This window comes from Homo sapiens, chromosome 3, assembly GCF_000001405.40.
Source record: "Homo sapiens chromosome 3, GRCh38.p14 Primary Assembly".
Lineage (NCBI taxonomy): Eukaryota > Metazoa > Chordata > Mammalia > Primates > Hominidae > Homo > Homo sapiens.
The window spans coordinates 150,702,190-150,722,725 of NC_000003.12; the positions used below are offsets into that span (position 1 = coordinate 150,702,190).

A 20,536-nucleotide genomic window follows, 5' to 3' on the forward strand; every position below is an offset into this window, starting at 1 on the left:
AACATTTAAAAATCAGCTATTCCCTCTAAATCAAAAGGTCAATTCTACCCCCCCCAGGAACACATGGCAATGTCTGGAGACTTTTTTTTTTTTTTTTTTTTTTTTGAGACGGAGTCTCGCTCTGTCGCCTAGGCTGGAGTGCAATGGCGCGATCTTGGCTCACTGCAAGCTCCACCTCCCGGGTTCACGCTATTCTCCTGCCTCAGCCTCCCAAGTAGCTGGGACTACAGGCGCACGCCGCCACGCCCGGCTAATTTTTTGTATTTTTAGTAGAGACGGGGTTTCACCATGTTAGCCAGAATGGTCTCGATCTCCCGACCTCGTGATCTGCCCGCCTAGGCCTCCCAAAGTGCTGGGATCACAGGCGTGAGCCACCGCGCCCGGCCTGGAGACATTTTTGATCATCGCAAGGATGTGTGCTTCTAGCACAGCCACGGGTAGAGGACAGGGATGCTGCCAAATATCCTGTAATTCACAGGACAGTCCCCAATCCTCCCCAACAAAGAATTATCCAGACCAAAATGTCAACACTAGAGCTTGAGAAGCCTACTCTAGAAGACTTCTCTGCTTCTTTTTTCAAGGAAGTGACTGGAGTGGCTTCAGCACAGGATGTTAAACACAAAAGAGAGTTGTTTTTTTTTTTTGCAGGACTGTTTCAGTAGTACAGCACCCTTAAGGCACTTCTCTGGAAATAATATGAGTGTGTGTGTGTGTGTGTGTGTGTGTCTGTGAGAGAGAGAGAGAGGGAGAGAGAAAGAGAGGGGGAGGGGAGAGGGAGGGGAGGAAGAGGGAGGGGAGGGGGAACAGAGAGAGAGAGAGAGAGAGATGTCACGGTGTGAATGCACGCAAAAATGTTATAAAAATGAGCACTCCCAGCAGCCTGGGCAACATAGTGAGACGCCAGATTAGCTGGGTGTGGTGGCGTGTGCCTGTAGTTCCAGTTACTCGAGAGGCTGCGGTGGGAGGCTTGAGCCCAGGAGGTCGAGGCTGCAGCCACTGCACTCCAGCCTGGGCGACAGAGCGAGACTCTTGTCTAAAAAAAAAAAAGCACTTCATACAGCCATGCCCAAGTTCAACTTTTATGGTGTTTCGCCTATATCCTAAATCGTGCCTCATCACAACAGCTCAGCCAAGGGTTCAGTGTCTCTGACAAGGGCGTGAGAGAGATTAGGTGTGTGGAATGGTGCATGCATTTAGAAATCAGGCACGACGCGCAGGTCGACGAAGGCACCACCCAGGAGTGGGTGGACCAGGTGCCCCCTGGAGACGAGAAACCCTCGAGGAAGGGGTGGGTCGGGGGCGGTACTTTTATGCGAGGAGGTGCTGGAGGGTGGGCTTGCGCTCGGCGTTTCAGTGCTGGTCGCGCTCTGGCTGGGCACGAACGTAGAGGTCAGGCTAGGGCTGACGATGCTGGCTAAGCGGGGGCGCACGTCTGGGAAGTCGTCGTCGTAGTCACCGATGTCCGTGACCTTCCAGAGGTACTCTTCGCTGAACGTCTCAGGGGCCTCCAACTCCTGCTCTTCCCCCACCAACTCCTCCTCCACCACCTCCTCCTCCTCCTCCTCCACCTCTTCCTCCTCCTCCTCCACCTCTTCCTCCTCCTCCTCCACCTCTTCCTCCTCCTCCTCCTCCTCTAACTCCTCCTCTGACTCCTTCTGGTCCTTCTTCCCCGGGTCTCCGAAGCCGCTAGGCGAGCGCAAGTGGGCCATGGCTGGCGGGAGGCGGGATTACAGCCAGCTCTTTGGCCGCGGCCCCGGTCGGCTCTCGCGAGCGCGAGCCTCTGTTGTGCGTTGGTCTCCCCGGGCAACTGCTTGCCCTGCGCCACCGAGCCTCCCGGATTTAAAGCGGCAGGAGCTGGTTAGCCGGATAGAATGTGGGTGCCGAGGGCCGGTGGGGGCCACCGCAGACTTCTTTCTGTCCCTGCTCTTCAGCGTCTCTGAAACCCCTGGCAGCCTGCGGAGAAACGATCTTTTCTTCGTCTCTCAGCTTATTTGGGGCCTTTTTTTTTTTTTTTAACTTGGGTGGAGGAAGTGGCTTCTAGCGACGGACACACACGGTGCCATTTGGTATTGCGGATGCTGGAGTCTGGTTATTGAGTAGACAGATGCTTGCTGGAACGTCCAGTGAAACTTTATTTACAAAATCAGGCGCCAGCCCTTGGGCCCTCGTTTGCGGATATTTTTAAAATAGCTTTAAATATTAATAAGCGTATTAAAATTGCCTTAAATGTTAGTTATCTTAAATATTGTTAGATTAATATTAATTAATCTTGATTGGCGACATTTTTAGCGTCCCATAAATTTTGCTCCTTGCTGTGATCTGGGTCCTGCTTCTTACTTGGCCCATCTATCCATCCTGGAGTAGAAAAGTCCTGAAGCATCTGGCCACCTAGGTACCACCTGCGTCCTTCTGGGACTTTGTATTTACTTACATTTTTGTAAAATATATACATTTTTTATTTTTGAGAGACAGGATGTCACTCTGTCACCCAGGCTGGAGTGCAGTGGCGGCATCATGGTTCACTTCAGCCCTGAACTCTTGGGCTCCAGTGATCCTCCCACCTCGGTCTCCCAAGTGGCAAGGACAACAAATGTGTGTCACCACGCCTGGCCAATTTTATATATTATATTATATTATATTATATTATATTATATTATATTATATTATATTATATTTATTTTGAGACGGAGTCTCGCTCTGTCACCCAGGCTGGAGTGCAGTGGCACCATATCGGCTCCCTGCAACCTCAGCCTCCTGGGTTCAAGCAATTCTCCTGCCTCAGCCTCCCGAGTAGCTGGGACTACAGGCACGTGCCACCACGCCTGGCTAATTTTTTGCATTTTCAGTAGAGATGGGGTTTCACCGTGTTAGCCAGGATGGTCTCGATCTCCTGACCTCGTGATCTGCCTGCCTCAGCCTCCCAAAGTGCTGGGATTACAGGCGTGAGCCACAGTGCCTGGCCTGTATTATATTTATTTTGAGACAGGGTCTTACCCTGTCGCTCAGGCTGGAGTGCAGTGGTGCTATCTCAGCTCACCGCAACCTCCTCCTCCCGGCTCAAGCTGATCCTCCCGCCTCAGCCTCCCGAGTATCTGGGACTACTTTTTGTAGAGATGGCGTCTTGCTATGTTGCCCAGGCTGGTCTCAAACTCTCGGTCTCAAGCTCCTGGGCTCAAGAGATCCTCCCATCTGGGCCTCCCAAAGTTCTTAGGATTACAGACGTGAGCTACTGTGCCTGGCTAGGGAATATTTTTGAAAGTAGAGTTCTTGCAGGCTAAAGGAGCAGGCAGCACAGATGAGAGGAGACATCTGAGTTGCTTTAAAAGGAAGGGCAAAATGTGGTGACCAGAGAGGAAAGTGAAAAGCTTTCCAGCAGGCTCACGGCAGGAAAGGAGGGTCAGGACAGGGAACTATGTGTACAGATATTGAGGTACAAATAAGGTAAGTGTAATTTAAAAAGAGAAAATAAGAAAAAGCTCATTTCTTTTCTGGACAATACTAACAGTTTGATGCTGGAAGCTATCTTAGAAGTTAGGAAATTCAACCAGGGTCCTCAGAGAGCAGACTGGAAGTCAGGATGTGGGGATGAGACACGGGGCTGGCAGACAGCAAGGGTGACAGTGCTTGTGCTTACTCCGCTTGTGCCTGCTGTAGCTCAGTTCTGTGACTGCCCTGGCATTTTCTCAATTGTGTGGTGAATTAATTTGTTTAAGTACTCCTTGTTTAGACCCTCTATTTAAGACCTTTTTTGAACATTTTATGGAATCTCCTTCCCTTGGATCTACTTACTACGGAAAGAACAGTCCCTTATTTTCTCATGAGTTGATGCCACTCTTGTTTTGGCCGTTCAGAGATAATATGATGCTGGGTCAGTTTATATTTTCCCCTTCTCCATTCCTGGTGTCTAGCTTGACTCAGGAACTTGAGATTTGAGAACCAGGCACCAGCCCTGACTAACTGTGACTTTGGGGTTACTGAGCCTCAGTTTCTTGGTGTGTTAAATGGAAATATCAGTACCTTTCCACTTAATTTATGGGGCTATTTTGAGATAAAATTTAATTATTGTTTATTTTCTTCTTCTTTTTTTTTTTTCCTAAGATGGCATCTCAATGTGTTACCCAGGCTGGTCTTGAACTCCTGGACTCAATCCTCCTACCTTGGCCTCCCAAAGTGCTGGGATTATAGGTGTGAGTCATCCTGTCTGGCCTATTTTCTGAGGACTGATTTTGTATTTTATTATTATTATTTTAGGACCACATAACTCTGTTTAGAAAATGTTTCTAATGTATTGAGTGCTTCAAAGGTATATTAGTTCGATTTCACACTGCTATAAGGAATTGCCTGAGGCTGAGTAATATATAAAATAAACAGGTTTAATTGACTCAGTTCCATATAACTGGGGAGGCCGCAGGAAACTTACAATCATGGCTGAAGGTGAAGGGGAAGCAAGGCACATCTTACTTGTTGGCAGGAGAGAGAGAGTGCAGGGGAAACTGCCACTTTTTCTTTTTTTTTTTTGGAGACAGAGTCTCACTCTGTTGCCCAGGCTGGAGTGCAGTGGCGCAATCTTGGCTCACTGCAAGCTTGGCCTCCCGGGTTCACGTCATTCTCCTGCCTCAGCATCCCGAGTAGCTGGGACTACAGGCGCCCGCCACTACGCCTGGCTAATTTTTTGTATTTTTAGTAGAGACGAGGTTTCACGTGTTAGTCAGGATGGTCTCGATCTTCTGCCCTCAGGTAATCCACCCGCCTTGGCCTCCCAAAGTGCTGGGATTACAGGTGTGAGCCACCATGCCCAGCCAGAAACTGCCACTTTTAAACCATCAGATCTCATTGAGAACTCCCTCACTATCACGAGAACCGCATGAGGGAAACCACCCCCATGATCTGATCACCTCCCACCAGGTCCTGCCCTCAACATGTGGGGATTACAATTCAAGATGAGATTTGGGTCAGGAAACAGAGCCAAACCATATCAAGAGGTAATGGATTTTTAAAAAATTTCCTATCTCAAGTATATAATGTTATGTAATTGTTCCCTATTGTCATCATTTGATATTTTGTTTGCCTTTCTTTAATTTTGTTTTTAATTGGCACATCATAATTGTACATATTCATGGGATACAGTGTGATGTTTCAATATGTGATACATTGTGTGAAAATCAAATCAGGATATTTAGCATATCCATCATCTCTTACATTTATCGTTTGTATTAGTTCCTTCTCACACTGCTAATAAAGACATACTTGAGGCTGGGTAACTTATAAAGGAAAAAGCTTTAATTAGGCCTCAGGAGACTTACAATCATGGCAGAAGGGAAAGCAAACACATTCTTCTTCACATGATGGCAGGAAGGAGAAGTGCCGAGCAAAAGTGGGGAAAGCCCCTTATAAAACCATCGGATCTCGTAAGAACTCACTCACTATCATAAGAACAGCAGCATGGGGGTAATTGCCCCCACGATTCAATTACCTTCTATGGGTTTCTCCCACGACACGGGATTATGGGAACTACAATTCAAGATGAGATTTGGGTGGGGACACAGCCAAACTATATAATCATTTCTTTGTGATGAGAACATTCAAAATTATCTCTTCTAGCTATTTTGAAATATGTAATATTGTTAACCATAGTCAGCCTAGTGTGCAGTAGAATACCAGACTTTATTCCTCCTATCTAACTGTAACTTTGTACTCGTTGACCAATTTCTCTTTATTTTCTCTCCATCCTCCCCTCCGCAGCCTCTGGTAACCACTGTTCTACTCAATACTTCTATGAGGTGAACTTCTTTGGATTCCACATATGATCAAGATCATGAGGTATTTGTCTTTCTATAGCCTGGCTTATTTCACATTACATAATATCCTCCAGGTTCATCCACATTGTTGTATATGACAGGATTTCATTCCTTTTTATGGCTGAATAGTATTCCATTGTATCTATACACGACTTTTTCTTTGTTTGAGACAGATTCTTGCTCTATTGTCTAGGCTAGAGTGCAGTGGTGCAATCATGGCTCACTGCAGCCTCAAACTCCTAGGTTCAAGCGATTCTTCCACCTCAGCCTCCCCAGTAGCTAAGACTACAGGTGTGCACTATCATGCCTGGCTAATTTTTAGTTTTCTGTAGAGACAGAGTCTTGCTATTTTGCACAGGCTGGTCTTGAACTCCTGGCCTCAAGTGAGTCTCCCACCTTGGCCTCCCAAAGTTCTGGCAATACAGCTGTGAGCCACCATACTCTGGCAGATTATTATCATTATTATTATTTAGCTTTTGAGTATTCTGAGTTCCTCATATATTCTGAATATGAACCCCTTGTCAGATGTATGATTTGCAAATATTTTCTCCTGTTCTGCAACTTGTCTCTTCACTCCGTTGATTGTTTCCTTTGCTGTGCGGAAGCTTTTTAGTTTGAAATAATTCTATTTGTCTATTTTTCTTTTTGTTTCTTGTGCTTTTGGGGTCTTATTTTAAAAATCCTTGCTCAGAACAATGTCATGAAGCATTTCCCTTGTGTTTTCTTCCACTAGTTTTATTGTTTCAGGTCTTACACTTAAGTCTTTAATCCATTTTGATTTGATTTTTATATATGGTAAAAGATAGGGATCTAGCTTTATTCTTCTGCATGTGGATATCCAGTTTCCAGCACTATGTATTGATGAGACTGTCTTTTCTCCATTGTGTGTTCTTGGAACCTTTGTCGAAAATCAGTTGGCTCTAAGTATGTGAATTTATTTTTGTGTTCTCCGTTCTGTCCCATTGGTCTGTGTGTCTGGTTTTTTGTCAGTATCATGTTGTTTTAGTTACTACAGCTTTGTAGTATATTTTGAAGTCAGGTAGTGTGATGCCTCCAGCTTTGTTCTTTTTGTTTCCTTTTCTGTTTTCCATTTTTCCTCAAAGACTGCCATGAATACCACCACTTTGAGAAAGGCAGGAAAGTGAATTTTTGTCCGGCTTAAACTTCTTATTTGCATATAGAATATTTTGAATGGGCTATAGATAGCTCCCTAGCACATCCATGAAGAAAGCACAGTATCTCTTCAGAATGCCTTAGTTAAGCATTGTTCTGATTCATGGTGGAAGAACAACTTTAAAGAACTGTAGCCTTGATGATGGCTAATTAAAAATGTTCCTAAAGCTGGGCGCGGTGGCTCACACCTGTAATCCTAGCACTTTGGGAGGCCAAGGTGGGAGAATCGTTTGAGCCCAGGAGGTTGAGGCTGCAGTGAGCTGTGATTGCACCCCTGCACTCCAGCCTGGGCAACAGAAAAAAAGAAAAGTGCCTGGTTGCATTAGCTATGAGGGGCATCTTTCTAAACATCATATTCTTTTCTCCCGACAAGCTCTTTTCAGAAGGTGATTTCTGAATGCCCATTTCTCTCTCTTAATTAGCAGTGACATCCACTTTATCCTTGCTCTTAATATTTTGTTATTGTTATTACTATTCATGTAGTCTTGTCTCCTTAAATACTTGGTTATTTTTTATCCTATGCCAGATGTTATTTGAAAAAAAAATGGTGGAAAAATTTGAGGTTCAGGATTAAGTTCCTCCGGAAAGAATTATATTTGCTTTAGGAAGGCACCTAGGAGGCTTCATAATCCAGGATCATCTTAATCCAATTTCAGTGATTACCATGATTCAAAACTAGACTGTGTCCCTACAAGGATATTCTATTTCTACTTAGCCTTTATGCTTAAAATATGCTTAAAATGCAGCCCTTCAGAACCCCAGTCTCAAGTGGGGAGTTACCAGCACCTCTCTTCCACCCTTGGTTGGCTTTGACTCTCATTTTTCCATTTTCTTAGCCAGTCAAGATCATCAGAAATCTTATTCAGACTCTCAGTTACCTGTTCTAGAATTGGCAAATGCTTCAGGGAAAAAGCAAGCCCAAAACACCTCTCTGGATTCTCCTCTTCTTTATTATCTTAGCCTAGTTATTTTAAAGTGCCTTGCTAGTTCTTCTGTGCCTTTATGAGTTTTCACCAAATACATTTGTCTGGCTTGTGTAGATGTCCTCAGTGGGAAAATTAGTCAGACTTACATAGCTCATCATTACTGGAAGTAGAAGTGGCAACTGTCTTTGATGGGGAAATATATAAAAGGTGATGCTGTGGTCTGAATGTGCCGCAGAGTTCATGTGTTGAAACTTAGTCATCAATGTGAGAGTATTAAGAGATGGAGGCCTTTAGGGAGTGATTCAGTCATGCGGGCAGAGCCCTCAGGAATGGGATTAATGACCTTACAAAAGGGCTTGAGAGAACTAGCATCTCTTTTACACATCTGCCATGTGAGGACACAGTGTTTGTCACCTCTGGACACAGCAACAAGGCACCATCTTGGTAGCAGAGAGACTGGGCCCTCATCAGGCACTAAACCTGCTGGCACCTTGGTCTTGGACTTCCCAGTCCTCAGAACTGTGTAACGTTTCCGTTGTTTATAAATTACCCAGTCTGTGGTATTTTGTTTTTGAAGCACAAATGGACTAAGACAGGTAGGTTTATGGGAATGAGTGCATGAAATCTCAACCTTAGGAAAGGATATAGGGTTGAAGTTCTAGGAAGGAACCTTCATCTTATAAAGAAGATGTCTTCTAAAGAAGGTATAGGCTAGATTGTTGTAACAAAGAAAAATACATTAGTTCCAACAAGATTGCAGTGCATTGATTTCTCTCCCATAGTAGTCCAGAAGAAGATAGTTTATGTTATTGGGGCAGCTCTGATCTACAAGCATCCAGGGACTTAGGTTTCATCTATCTTGTTGCACCACCATCCCCTAAGATGAGGTTCTCACCCTCACACTAAATACCATATCAATATTCCAGTTGGGAAGGAAAGAGGAAGAGGAGGGCAGCCAGATTTTTGCTGGCTTGCTTGTGTGTTTTTAAGAATATAATCTGGAAGTTGAATGCATCTCTTCCATTCACACATTCTTGGTCCAAACCAATTATTTGCATAGCCATAGCTAGAGGCCAGAGAGGATTGGACATGTCACTTCTTGCTGGGAAACTGTATGACTTGCTAAAAGTTGTGACAGCGTGTAGGGGTGGCCAGTGACTGTAATGGTAGGAAGAAGAGTAGAATAGACCCTGGGGAACAATTTGCAGTCTCCATCATGGACCCTGGTTAAGAGAGGTAGAGAATTATATCTAATTCCCACAATGGGCTAATGGGACAAGCCCAGCCCAGGAGAGACATCAATATGGCTTCATACATGAGGAGGGACACCTGATACTTCTGTGTGTTAAGGGAGGATGAATTCAAGTGGTGGCTGTCAAACTAGAGCATGCATCAGAATTATGTGGAAGGTTTATTAAAATACAGATTGCTGGCCAGGCGCAGTGGCTCACGCCTGTAATCCTAGCACTTTGGGAGGCCGAGGCAAGTGGATTGCCTGAGTTCAGAGTTTGCAACCAGCCTGGGCAATACAGTGAAACCCTGTATCTACTAAAATTAAAAAACAATTAGCTGGGCATGGCAGCATGCACTTGTAGTCCCAGCTACTTGGGAGGCTGAGGCAGAAGAATTACTTGAACTTGGGAGGCGGAGGTTGCACTGAGCTGAGATTGCGCCACTGCATTGCAGCCTACCTGACAGAGCAAGACTCCATCACACACAAAAAAATAAAAAAATAAAAAAATAAAAATGATTGCTGGCAAGATGGCTGAATAGGAACAGCTCCAGTCTGCAGCTCCAAGGGAGATCAACACAGAAGGTGGGTGATTTCTGCATTTCCAACTGAGGTACCCAGTTCATCTCATTGAGACTGGTTAAACAGTGGGTGCAGCCCACGGAGGGTGAGCTGAAGCAGGGTGGGGCATTGCCTCACCCGAGAAGTATAAGGGGTCAGGGAACTCCCTCCCCTAGCCAAGGGAAGCTGTGAGGGACTGTGCTGTGAGGAACGGTGCACTCTGGCCCAGATTCTATGCTTTTCCCATGATCTTCGCAACCCGCACAGCAGGAGATTCCCTCCAGTGACTAGGCCACCAGAGCCCTGGGTTTCAAGCATAAAACTAGGCAGTCATTTGGGCAGACACTGAGCTAGCTGCAAGAGTTTTTTTTTTTTTTCATACCCCAGTGGCGCCTGGAACGCCAGCAAGAGAGAACCGTTCACTCCCCTGGACAGGGGGCTGAAGCCGTGGAGCCAAGTGGACTAGCTCAGCGGATCCCACCCCCACAGAGCCCAGCAAGCTAAGATCCACTGGCTTGAAATTCTTGCTGCCAGCACAACAGTCTGAAGTCAACCTGGGATGCTGGAGCTTGGTGAGGGGAGGAGCGTCCACCATTACTGAGGCTTGAGTAGGCGGTTTTCCCCTCACAGTGTAAACAAAGCCACCAGGAAATTTGGACTGGGTGGAGCCCACCGCAGCTCAGCAAAGCCGCTGTAGCCAGGCTGCCTCTCTAGATTCCTCTTCTCTGGGCAGGGCATCTCTGAAAAAAAGGCAGCAGCCCCAGTCAGGTACTTATAGATAAAACCCCCACCTCCCTGGGACAGAGCACCTTGGGTAAGGGGCAGCTGTGGGCACAGCTTTAGCAGACTTCAACGTCCCTGCCTGACGGCTCCGAAGAGAGCAGCTGATCTCCCAGCACAGTGTTCAAGCTCTGCTAAGGGTCAGACTGCCTCCTCAAGTGGTTCCCTGACCCCTGTGTCTCCTGACTGGTAGACACCTCCCAGCAGGGGCTGACAGACACCTCATACAGGAGAGCTCTGGCTGGCATCTGGCGGGTGCCCCTCTGGGACGAAGCTTCCAGAGGAAGGAACAGTCAGCAATCTTTGCTGTTCTGCAGCCTCCGCTGATGATATCCAGGGAAACAGGGTCTGGAGTGGATCTCCAGCAAACTCCAGCAGACCTGCAGCAGAGGGGCCTGACTGTTATAAGGAAAACTAACAAACAGAAAGGAATAGCATCAACATCAACAAAAAGGATGTCCACTCAGGGACCTCATCCAAATGTCACCAACATCAAAGACCAAAGGTAGATAAATCCATGAAGATGGGGAGAAACCAGTGCAAAAAGGCTGAAAATTCCAAAACCCAGAACGCCTCTTCTCCTCCAAAGGATCACAACTCCTTGCCAGCATGGGAACAAAACTGGATGGAGAATGAGTTTGATTAATTGACAGAAGTAGGCTTCAGAAGGTGGGTAATAACAAACTCTTCCGAGCTAAAGGAGCATATTCCAACCCAATGCAAGGAAGCTAAGAGCCTTAAAAAAAGGTTAGAGGAATTGCTAACTAGAATAACCGGTTTAGAGAAGAACATAAATGACCTGATGGAGCTGAAAAACACAGCACGAGAACTTCGTGAAACATACGTAAGTATTAATAGCCAGATTGATCAAACGGAAGAAAGGATATCAGAGACTGAAGATCAGCTTAATGAAATCAAGTGAGAAAACAAGATTAGAGAAAAAAGAATGAAAAGGAATATGGGACTATGAAATCCAAGAAATATAGGACTATGTGAAAAGACCAAATCTACATTGATTGGTATACCTGAAAGTGACGGGGGAGAATGGAACCAAGTTGGAAAACACTCTTCAGGATATTATCCAGGAGAACTTCCCCAACCTAGCAAGATGACCAACAATCAAATTCAGGAAATACAGAGAACACCACAAAGATACTCCTCGAGAAGAGCAACCCCAAGACACATAATCATCAGATTCACCAAGGTTGAAATGAAGGAAAAAATGTTAAGGGTAGCCAGAGAGAAAGGTCAGGTTACCCACAAAGGGAAGCCCATCAGACTAACAGCAGATCTCTCTGCAGAAATCCTACAAGCCAGAAGAGGGGGGGCCAATATTCAACATGCTTAAATAAAAGAATCCTTAGAGAAAAGAATTTTCAACCCAGCATTTCACATCCAGCCAAACTAAGCTTCATAAGTGAAGGAGAAATAAAATCCTTTACAGACAAGCAAATGCTGAGAGATTTTGTCACCACCATGCCTGCCTTACAAGAGCTCCTGAAGGAAGCACTAAACATGGAAAGGAACAACCAGTACCAGCCACTGCAAAAACATACCAAGTAAAGAACATCAACACTATGAAGAAACTGCATCAACTAACGTCAAAATAACCAGCTAGCATCATAATGACAGGATCAAATTCACACATAACAATATTAACCTTAAATGTAAACAGGCAAAGTGCCCCAATTAAAAGACACAGACTGGCAAATTGGATAAAGAGTCAAGACCCATCAGTGTGCTGCATTGAGGAGACCCATCTCATGTGCAAAGACACACATAGGCTCAAAATAAAGGGATGGAGGAATATTTGCCAAGCAAATGGAAAGCAAAAAAAAAAGCAGGGGTTGCAATCCTAGTCTCTGATGAAACAAATTTTAAACCCACAAAGATCAAAAGAGACAAAGAAGGGCATTACATAACGGTAAAGGGATCAATGCAACAAGAAGAGCTAACTATCCCAAATATATATGCACCCAATACAGGAGCACCCAGATTCATAAAGCAAGTTATTAGAGACCTAAAAAGAGACTTAGACTCCCACACAATAATAGCAGGAGACTTCAACACCCCACTGTCAATATTAGATCAACGACACAGAAAATTAACAAGGAATATTCAAGACTTGAACTCAGCTCTGGACCAAGTGGACCTAAGAGACATCTGCAGAAGTCTCCACTCCAACTCAACGTAATATACGTTCTTCTCAGTACCACATCACACTTATTCTAAAATTGACCACATAATTGGAAGTAAAACACTCCTCAGCAAATGCAAAAGAATGGAAATCATAACAAACAGTCTCTCAGACCACAGTGCAATCAAATTAGAACTCAGGATTAAGAAACTCACTAAAAACTGCACAACTACATGGAAACTGAACAACCTGCTCCTGAATGACTACTGGGTAAATGATGAAATTAAGGCAGAAATAAATAAGTTCTTTGAAGCCAATGAGAACAAAGACACAATGTACTAGAATCTCTGGGACACATTTAACGCAGTGTTTAGAGGGAAATTTGTAGCACTAAATGCCCACAAGAGAAAGCAGGAAAGATCTAAAATTGACACTGTAACATCACAATTAAAAGAACTAGAGAAGCAAGAGCAAAAAAATTCAAAAGCTAGCAGAAGACAAGAAATAACTAAGATCAGAGAAGAACTGAAGGAGATAGAGACATGAAAAACCCTTCAAAAAATCAATGAATCCAGGAGCTGGTTTTTTAAAAAGATCAACAAAATAGATAGACAGTTAGCCAGACTAATAAAGAAGAAAAGAGAGAAGAATCAAATAGACGCAATAAAAAATGATAAAGAGGATATCACCACTGGTCCCACAGAAATACAAACTACCATCAGAGAATACTATAAACACCTCTATGCAAATAAACTAGAAAATCTAGAAGAAATGGATACATTCTTGGACACATACACCCTCCCAAGTCTAAAACAGGAAGAAGTCGAATCCCTGAATAGACCAATAACAAGTTCTGAAATTGAGGTGGTAATTAATAGCCTACCAACCAAAAAAAGTCCAGGACTAGATGGATTCACAGCCAAATTCTACCAGAGGTACAAAGAGGAGCTGGTACCATTCCTTCTGAAACTATTTCAAACAATAGAAAAAGGGAGAATCCTCCCTAACTCATTTTATGAGGCCAGCATCATCCTGATACCAAAACCTGGCAGACACAACAAAAAAAGAAAACTTTAACAGGCTTCAGGGATCAAACTTTAAGAACACTGAATCTTGTGCTCAATTAGCTTGTATTGGATTTGCTTCTATCAGTTGATGAAAAGGAATGTGTATAACAATAATATAATTGAACTCCACATTTTCAGCTGCAGGATTCTAGAATCCTTCACTATTGTATTATTGAGGGGATCATTGAAGTCTAGGCCAATATCCCTGATGAACATTAATGTGAAAATCCTCAAAAAAATTATTGGTAAACAGAATCCAGCAGCACATCAAAAAGCTTATTCACCATGACCAAGTTGGCTTCATCCCTGGGATGCAAGGCTGGTTCAACATATGCAAATCAATAAATGTAATCCATCACATAAACAGAACCAGTGACAAAAACCACATGATTATCTCAATAGATGCAGAAAAGGCCTTCGACAAAATTCAACAGCCCTTCATGCTAAAAATTCTCAATAAACTAGGTACTGATGGAACATATCTCAAAATAATAAGAGCTATTTATGACAAACCCACAGCCAATATCATACTGAATGGGCAAAACCTGGAAGCATTCCCTTTGAAAACTGGCACAAGACAAGGATGCCCTCTCTCACCACTCCTATTCAACATAGTATTGGAAGTTCTGGCCAGGGCAATCAGGCAAGAGAAAGAAATAAAGGGTATTAAAATAGGAAGAAAGGAAGTCAAATTGTCTCTGTTTGCAGATGACATGATTGTATATTTAGAAAACCCCATTGTTAGAATGGTGATCATTAAAAAGTCAGGAAACAACAGATGCTGGAGAGGACGTGGAGAAATAGGAACACTTTTACACTGTTGGTGGGAGTGTAAATTAGTTCAACCATTGTGGAAGACAGTGTGGCGATTCCTCAAGGATCTAGAATCAGAAATACCGTTTGACCTAGCAATCCCATTACTGGGTATATATCCAAAGGATTAGAAATCATTCTGCTATAAAGACACATGCCCACGTATGTTTATTGCAGCACTGTTCACAATAGCAAAGACTTGGAACCAACCCAAATGCCCATCAATGATAGACTGGATAAAGAAAATGCGGCACATATACACCATGGAATACTATGCAGCCATAAAAAGGATGAGTTCATCTCCTTTGCAGGGACATGGATGAAGCTGCAAACCATCATTCTCAGAAAACTAACACAAGAACAGAAAACCATAGATAGGTATGGTTTTCTATCTATCTATAGATATAGATAGATAGTATATAGTATATAGATAGATAGATACACACACACACACACACAAACACACACACACACACACACACACACACACACACACACACACACACATAGATAGATAGATTGCTGAGTGTTATCCCCCTGGACTTTTTTTTTTGAGACTGGGTCTTGCTCCGTTGCCCATGCTGGAGTGCAGTGGCACTTTCATAGCTCACTATAACCTTGAACTCCTGGGCTCAAGTGATTCTCCTACCTCAGTCTCCTGAGTAGCTAGGACTACAGGTGCATACCACCATGCCTGGCTAATTTTTTTTTTTTTTTTTGAGAGATGGGGTCTTCCTATGTTGTTGCCCAGGTTAGCCTCAAACTGTTGGCCTCAACTGATTCTCCTGTCGTGGCCTTCAATGTGCTGGATTACAGGTGTGAGTCACTGCACCTGGGCTCCCCTGGATTTTTGATTCAGTAGGTCTGGGACAGATCTGAGAATTTTTATTTCTTTTTCTTTTTTTTTTTTTTTTAGACGGAGTCTTGCTCTGTTGCCCAGGCTGGAACGCAGTGGTGCGATCTCGGCTCACTGCAAGCTCCGCCTCCCTGGTTCATGCCATTCTCCTGCCTCAGCCTCCCAAGTAGCTGGGACTACAGGCACACGCCACCACACCTGGCTAATTTTTTTTTTTTGTATTTTTAGTACAGATGGGGTTTCACCATGTTAGCCAGGATGGTCTCGATCTCCTGACCTCGTGATCCGCCCACCTCAGCCTCCCAAAGTGCTGGGATTACAGGCATGAGCCACCGCGCCCGGCCTGAAAATTTTTATTTCTAACAATTTTCCAAATGATGCTGATACAACTGCTTCAGGGATCAAACTTTAAGAACACCGTATCTTGTGCTCAATTAGCTTGTATTGGATTTGCTTCTACGAGTTGATGAAAAGGAATGTGTATAACAATAATATAATCGAATTCTACATTTTCAGCTGTGGGATTCTAGAATCCTTCACCACTGTATTATTGAGGGGATCATTGAAGTCTAGGTAAACTCCTTAACATGGATGAACATAATCACTTCGCTTCTTGATTTCTTAATACCTGCTTTCTTTCTCCCTTGTTAATCCCAATAGAATATCCTGCAAAGCCAGTTAAAGCTCCTCACTTGAAGAATCACTGATTAGCAGATTTCACTGTGTGCTTACTTCAGAAAGATGTGTGCAGCATATTATTTTTATAGCTTTTAATTCATACTTTAATGAGAATTTTATGAATATAGGTAGGTCTTGGTTCTTCAGGACAAGATAGAGCATAATTTGTTTAATTGATTCCCTTTTTTAATTATTATTATTTTTTTTTCGAGACGGAGTCTCGCTCTGTCACCCAGGCTGGAGTGCAGTGGCGCGATCTCGGCTCACTGCAAGCTCTGCCTCCTGGCTTCATGCCATTCTCCTGCTTCAGCCTCTCGAGTAGCTGGGACTACAGGCGCCCGCCACCACGCCCGGCTAATTTTTTTGTATATTTAGTACAGACGGGGTTTCACCATGTTAGCCAGGATGGTCTCAATCTCCTGACCTCATGATCCACCTGCCTCGGCCTTCCAAAGTGCTGGGATTACAGGCGTGTGCCACCGCTCCCGGCCCCCTTTTTTAATTTTAAGAGACTGAATTTTTTAAGTAACCGAATACCTGTATTAGCTATAGAATGGAATTAAAAACAAGGACAGATCAATTTGAAAGTGATTATGTCAGGCCAGGCTTGGTGGCTCATGCCTGTAATCCCAGCACTTTGGGAGGCTGAGGTGGGTGGATCAGCTGATGTTGGGAGTTCGAGACCAGTCTGACTAACATGGAGAAACCCCGTCTCTACTAAAAATACAAAATTAGCCGGGCATGGTGGTGCATTCCTGTAGTCCCAGCTACTCGGGAAGTGGAGGCAGAAGAATCGCTTGAACCCGAAAGGCAGAGGTTGTGGTGAGCCGAGATCTCGCCATTGAACTCCAGCCTGGGCAACAAGAGTGAAACTCCATCTCAAAAAAAAATAAAAAAAATAAAAAAAATTATGTCTTCTGAGGAAATTACTAAAGTTCAGACACTGATAAATGGATAATTAAAATGTAGTGTGTCCTTACAATGGAATATTACTTGGTGATAAAAATAAATGAATTACTTATATATGCTACAACGTGGATGAACCTTGAAAACATTATGTTAAAGAAAAGCAGCCAGTCACAAAGGACCATGTATGTATTGTGTGATCCTATTTGTATGAAATATACAATAGGCAAAACAGGCAAATCTGTAAAGAAAGTAGAGTCATGATTTTCTAGAATCGGTGGAGTTTGGGGAAATGGGCGGTGACTGCTGATGGGTGTGTGATTTCTTTTAGGGGTGATGAACATGATCTAGAATTGATTGTGGTGTTCTTACACATCTCTGTGAACATACTAAACACCACTGAATGGTACACTTCAAGTGGGTGAATTGTATGGTATGTGAACTATATCCTAAAAAAGTTGTTTTTTAAAAAGGAAAGGAAATGGTTTACTTTTGAGGGTAAATTGAAAGCTCCCCACCCAGATATTATTAACAACAGTTAATGTAACAGCAGTATAGAGCACTGACCCTGCCATCTGCGTGTATCTTCATTCTGATATTCCTTTCTCTGTCCATCATATGCCCCTTGATTTTGCTTTTCTTTTTTTTAACTGATAGAGTCGATAATTTTATTTTCACATTTCACAATACAAATGAAAACTGCACTTTTTCTGGTCCCACTTCTCCCGTCTAATACTATTCTCTCTTTGATAGGAAGGAGGAGCAAGTCTTCTTTGTCATGCTATTAAGAAAATACCCAGAGTCACAGCACCATGATCTCCTTGTGAAGCAGAACAAGTAATATAAAACTGATCTAAAGAGGCCTCCCCTCTACTCTTATCTGTCTGGTCGAGTCATTTGGGTCCAAGTGGGCACCATTGTGGGAGGGTGGGAGGACTCATCACTGGGGGCCCAGGCATCATTGGCATGTGGCCTCCTGTGTTAGTTTGTTCTCATGCTGCAAATAAAGACAACTTGAGACTGGATAATTTATAAAGGAAAGAGGTTTAATGGACTCACAGTTCCACATGGCTAAGGAGTACTCACAATCATGGCGGAAGACAAAGGAAGAGCAAAGGGACATCTTACATGGCAGCAGGCAAGAGAGCGTGTGCAGGGGAAGTCCCCTTTATAAAACCATCAGATCTCATGAGACTTATTCACTATCGCGAGAACAGCATGAGAAAAACCCACCCCCATGATTCAATTACCTCCCACCGTGTCCCTCCCATGTCATGTGAAGATTATTACAACTCAAGGTGAGATCTGAGTGGGGACACAGAGCCAAATGATATCACCTCCAATGGGCAGCCTCATTCCAGGAGCACATCCCATTGGCATCATCCAGGAGGAGGGGGGGGCCATCATTGGCATCATGGGAGGGCCCCCCAGCTGGGGTGCTGGCATCATACCTGGTGAGGAACAGGAAGAGACTGGGGGGAGGTTGGATCATCGCTCCTGCAGGAGGAGGAACAGAGAACAGAGTAGGAGGTGTTCTTCCTTGTTGAGATGCAGTCTTTGTTCTGTCAGCCAGGCTCCGAGCCTGCTCTTCTATCCATTTCTGGTAGTAGTCTTTCACATTCTCTTTGTGTTTCCTTCCACTGCAATGGTAGGTTCTCACAGATGGAGAGTCGTGGGTGAGGTATGTATTGCAGAAGTCACAACAAAACTTAGGCATGTTGCTCTGTAGCCCGTTAACCACTCTCTTCCCTGATTTTGCTTTGTTTTGATGTGACATTGAAGCACTGCACATGCGCAGAGCAGCTAATAGTTCTTCCCTCTTTGGATTGTTGGATGAAATTTTTTTGAATTTTATTTTTTATTGATACATAATAGATATATGTGTTTTGGGGGTACATATGATAATTTAATATATTTATATAACTTGTTAAGAACAAATCAGTGTAATTGGGACAGCCACCACCTTAAATACTTGTCCTTCCTTTTTGCTGGAAACATTTGTATTATTCTCTTAGCTATTTTGAAATATACAATAGGTTATTCTAAACTATAATCACCCTAGTGATCTATGAAACACTACGTCTTATTTCTTCTATTGGATTAAATGATTTAATACCTGCAATGCTCTTAGCATTGTGCCTGGCACATGATAAATAAATATTAGCTGTCGTTATTCCGACCCAAAACAAGAACATTTTTTATTGTTACAGAAAAAATTGGACCATTGATTATGTTTCACCATTTAAGTGGCTATTGTTTGCATGCTTTCGACAGTTCTATCCCATGCCCTATACATTTACTTTCCCCCAGACCTCCCTCCCCTCCATCTTCAACCTATTACAACAGGGTGTAATAATATAGACGAACACTAGAGGGAAGCATGCAATTGCAATGAAGAAAATCGGCATCAGCACACTTGAAATTCAGACAAGAAGATAGAAGATGTCTAGTATCAAAGGAAAGTGAAATGTCTTCCTTTAATATAGTGTCTTGTAGTATTCTCCTATAGGAGGGAAGTATTATTACTCTATCGGATGAGTATTCCTACTGGAAGGATAGCTGCGGCATTTTAAAAAATCCTGCCTGTATGTGCCTGCCATAAAGATGTCACATAACCATTTCCTCACGTGCTGTTCACTCCACACCCCAGCTCTCCTGAGAGCACTTAGCTTCTCCCGTGAGCCGGTTCCTCCGATGGGAGGCATTTGGAAGCCTACATTAGTATAGTGCTGCCTTACAACGCACTTTAATGTAATATCTAGTCTCTGGGAGGCCCAGGAGTGCTTCAAATTCTAGGCTTCCCTGAGATGTCCAGTGCATTTCTGTTGAGGTGTATATGGGCTCACTCGGCCTGAGTCCCTCAGGGGCAGGAAACGTACCCCATCTTCACCTTTGCATCCCCAGCAGTTTGCAGTGCTGGGCATGCCCTAGAGAAGCTGGATAATGTCTGTTGGACTAAACTGCTTCATGAGCTGCAGACAGAAAAAGAGGGAAATTTATGCTCACTTTATGCCTGAGCAATGGGACTCTAAACTGCACCCCTAACCAGTGAATATTTTTCATTATTTTTCTGGATTATAAAAGTTCATGCTCATAATGTGAAAATCATGCAAAAAGAACATCTAAAATATTCATAATCCCATCCATCCAATATTAACCTGGGGAATACTACAGATTCTTTTAACCTTATGTCAGAGTATAATATATAAATATATGTGTGTGTGTACATATATATAGTGTTTACATTTATGGCAGCATGGAACACCTATCTTTTAAAAATTTTTTTTGAGATGGTGTCTATACTCTGTCACCCAGGTTGGAGTGCAGTGGCGTGATCTGACTCGCTGCAACCTTGGCCTCATCCTCCCACCTCAGCCTCCTGAGTAGCTGGTACCACAAGCGTGCACTACCATGCCCAGCTAATTTTTTGTATTTTTGGTACAGACAGGGTTTTGCCATGTTGCCCAGGCTGGTCTTGAACTCCTGAGCTCAAGTGATCCACCTGCCTTGGAATCCCAAAGTTCTGGGATTACAGGTGTGAGCCACCATGCCCAGCCCTACATCTATCTTTTTTTTTTTTTTAAAACTAATCCCTTTCTTTTGGGAATTT

General features: G+C 43.5%; 1 protein-coding gene, 1 long non-coding RNA gene and 1 pseudogene across 5 annotated transcripts in view, besides 2 other annotated features; 1 reads left to right on the forward strand and 2 right to left on the reverse strand.

Annotated features, from left to right (window-relative positions):
- The window catches only part of ERICH6 (glutamate rich 6), a 44,036-nt gene extending 42,305 nt beyond the window's left edge, over nucleotides 1-1,731 (reverse strand). For 2 of the 3 annotated variants that reach the window (XM_005247120.4, NM_152394.5), the window contains exon 1: nucleotides 1,307-1,731. In XM_005247120.4, the coding sequence (XP_005247177.1) occupies nucleotides 1,307-1,709 (403 nt within the window). In that variant the 5' untranslated portion in view covers nucleotides 1,710-1,731. The remainder of the gene's footprint in view (nucleotides 1-1,306) is intronic. The other variant, NM_001308234.2, reaches the window with a different exon arrangement.
- Nucleotides 1,375-17,957, forward strand: ERICH6-AS1 (ERICH6 antisense RNA 1). 2 transcript variants are annotated; one of them, NR_121674.1, is made up of 4 exons: nucleotides 1,786-1,873; nucleotides 4,738-4,982; nucleotides 5,743-5,820; nucleotides 17,680-17,957. It is a non-coding gene; the product is annotated as an ERICH6 antisense RNA 1 (long non-coding RNA). The 2 variants fall into 2 exon arrangements; NR_121675.1 differs by lacking the exons at nucleotides 1,786-1,873; nucleotides 4,738-4,982 and adding an exon at nucleotides 1,375-1,478.
- Nucleotides 1,607-1,686: an enhancer, noted in NCBI's record as "active region_20695". NCBI's record gives its function as "activates an Ori minimal core promoter by ATAC-STARR-seq in GM12878 lymphoblastoid cells {active_cell/tissue: GM12878}" and the evidence as "EXISTENCE:reporter gene assay evidence [ECO:0000049][PMID:35858748]".
- Nucleotides 1,837-1,926: an enhancer, noted in NCBI's record as "active region_20696". NCBI's record gives its function as "activates an Ori minimal core promoter by ATAC-STARR-seq in GM12878 lymphoblastoid cells {active_cell/tissue: GM12878}" and the evidence as "EXISTENCE:reporter gene assay evidence [ECO:0000049][PMID:35858748]".
- SNRPCP3 (small nuclear ribonucleoprotein polypeptide C pseudogene 3) lies at nucleotides 17,571-18,679 on the reverse strand (annotated as a pseudogene).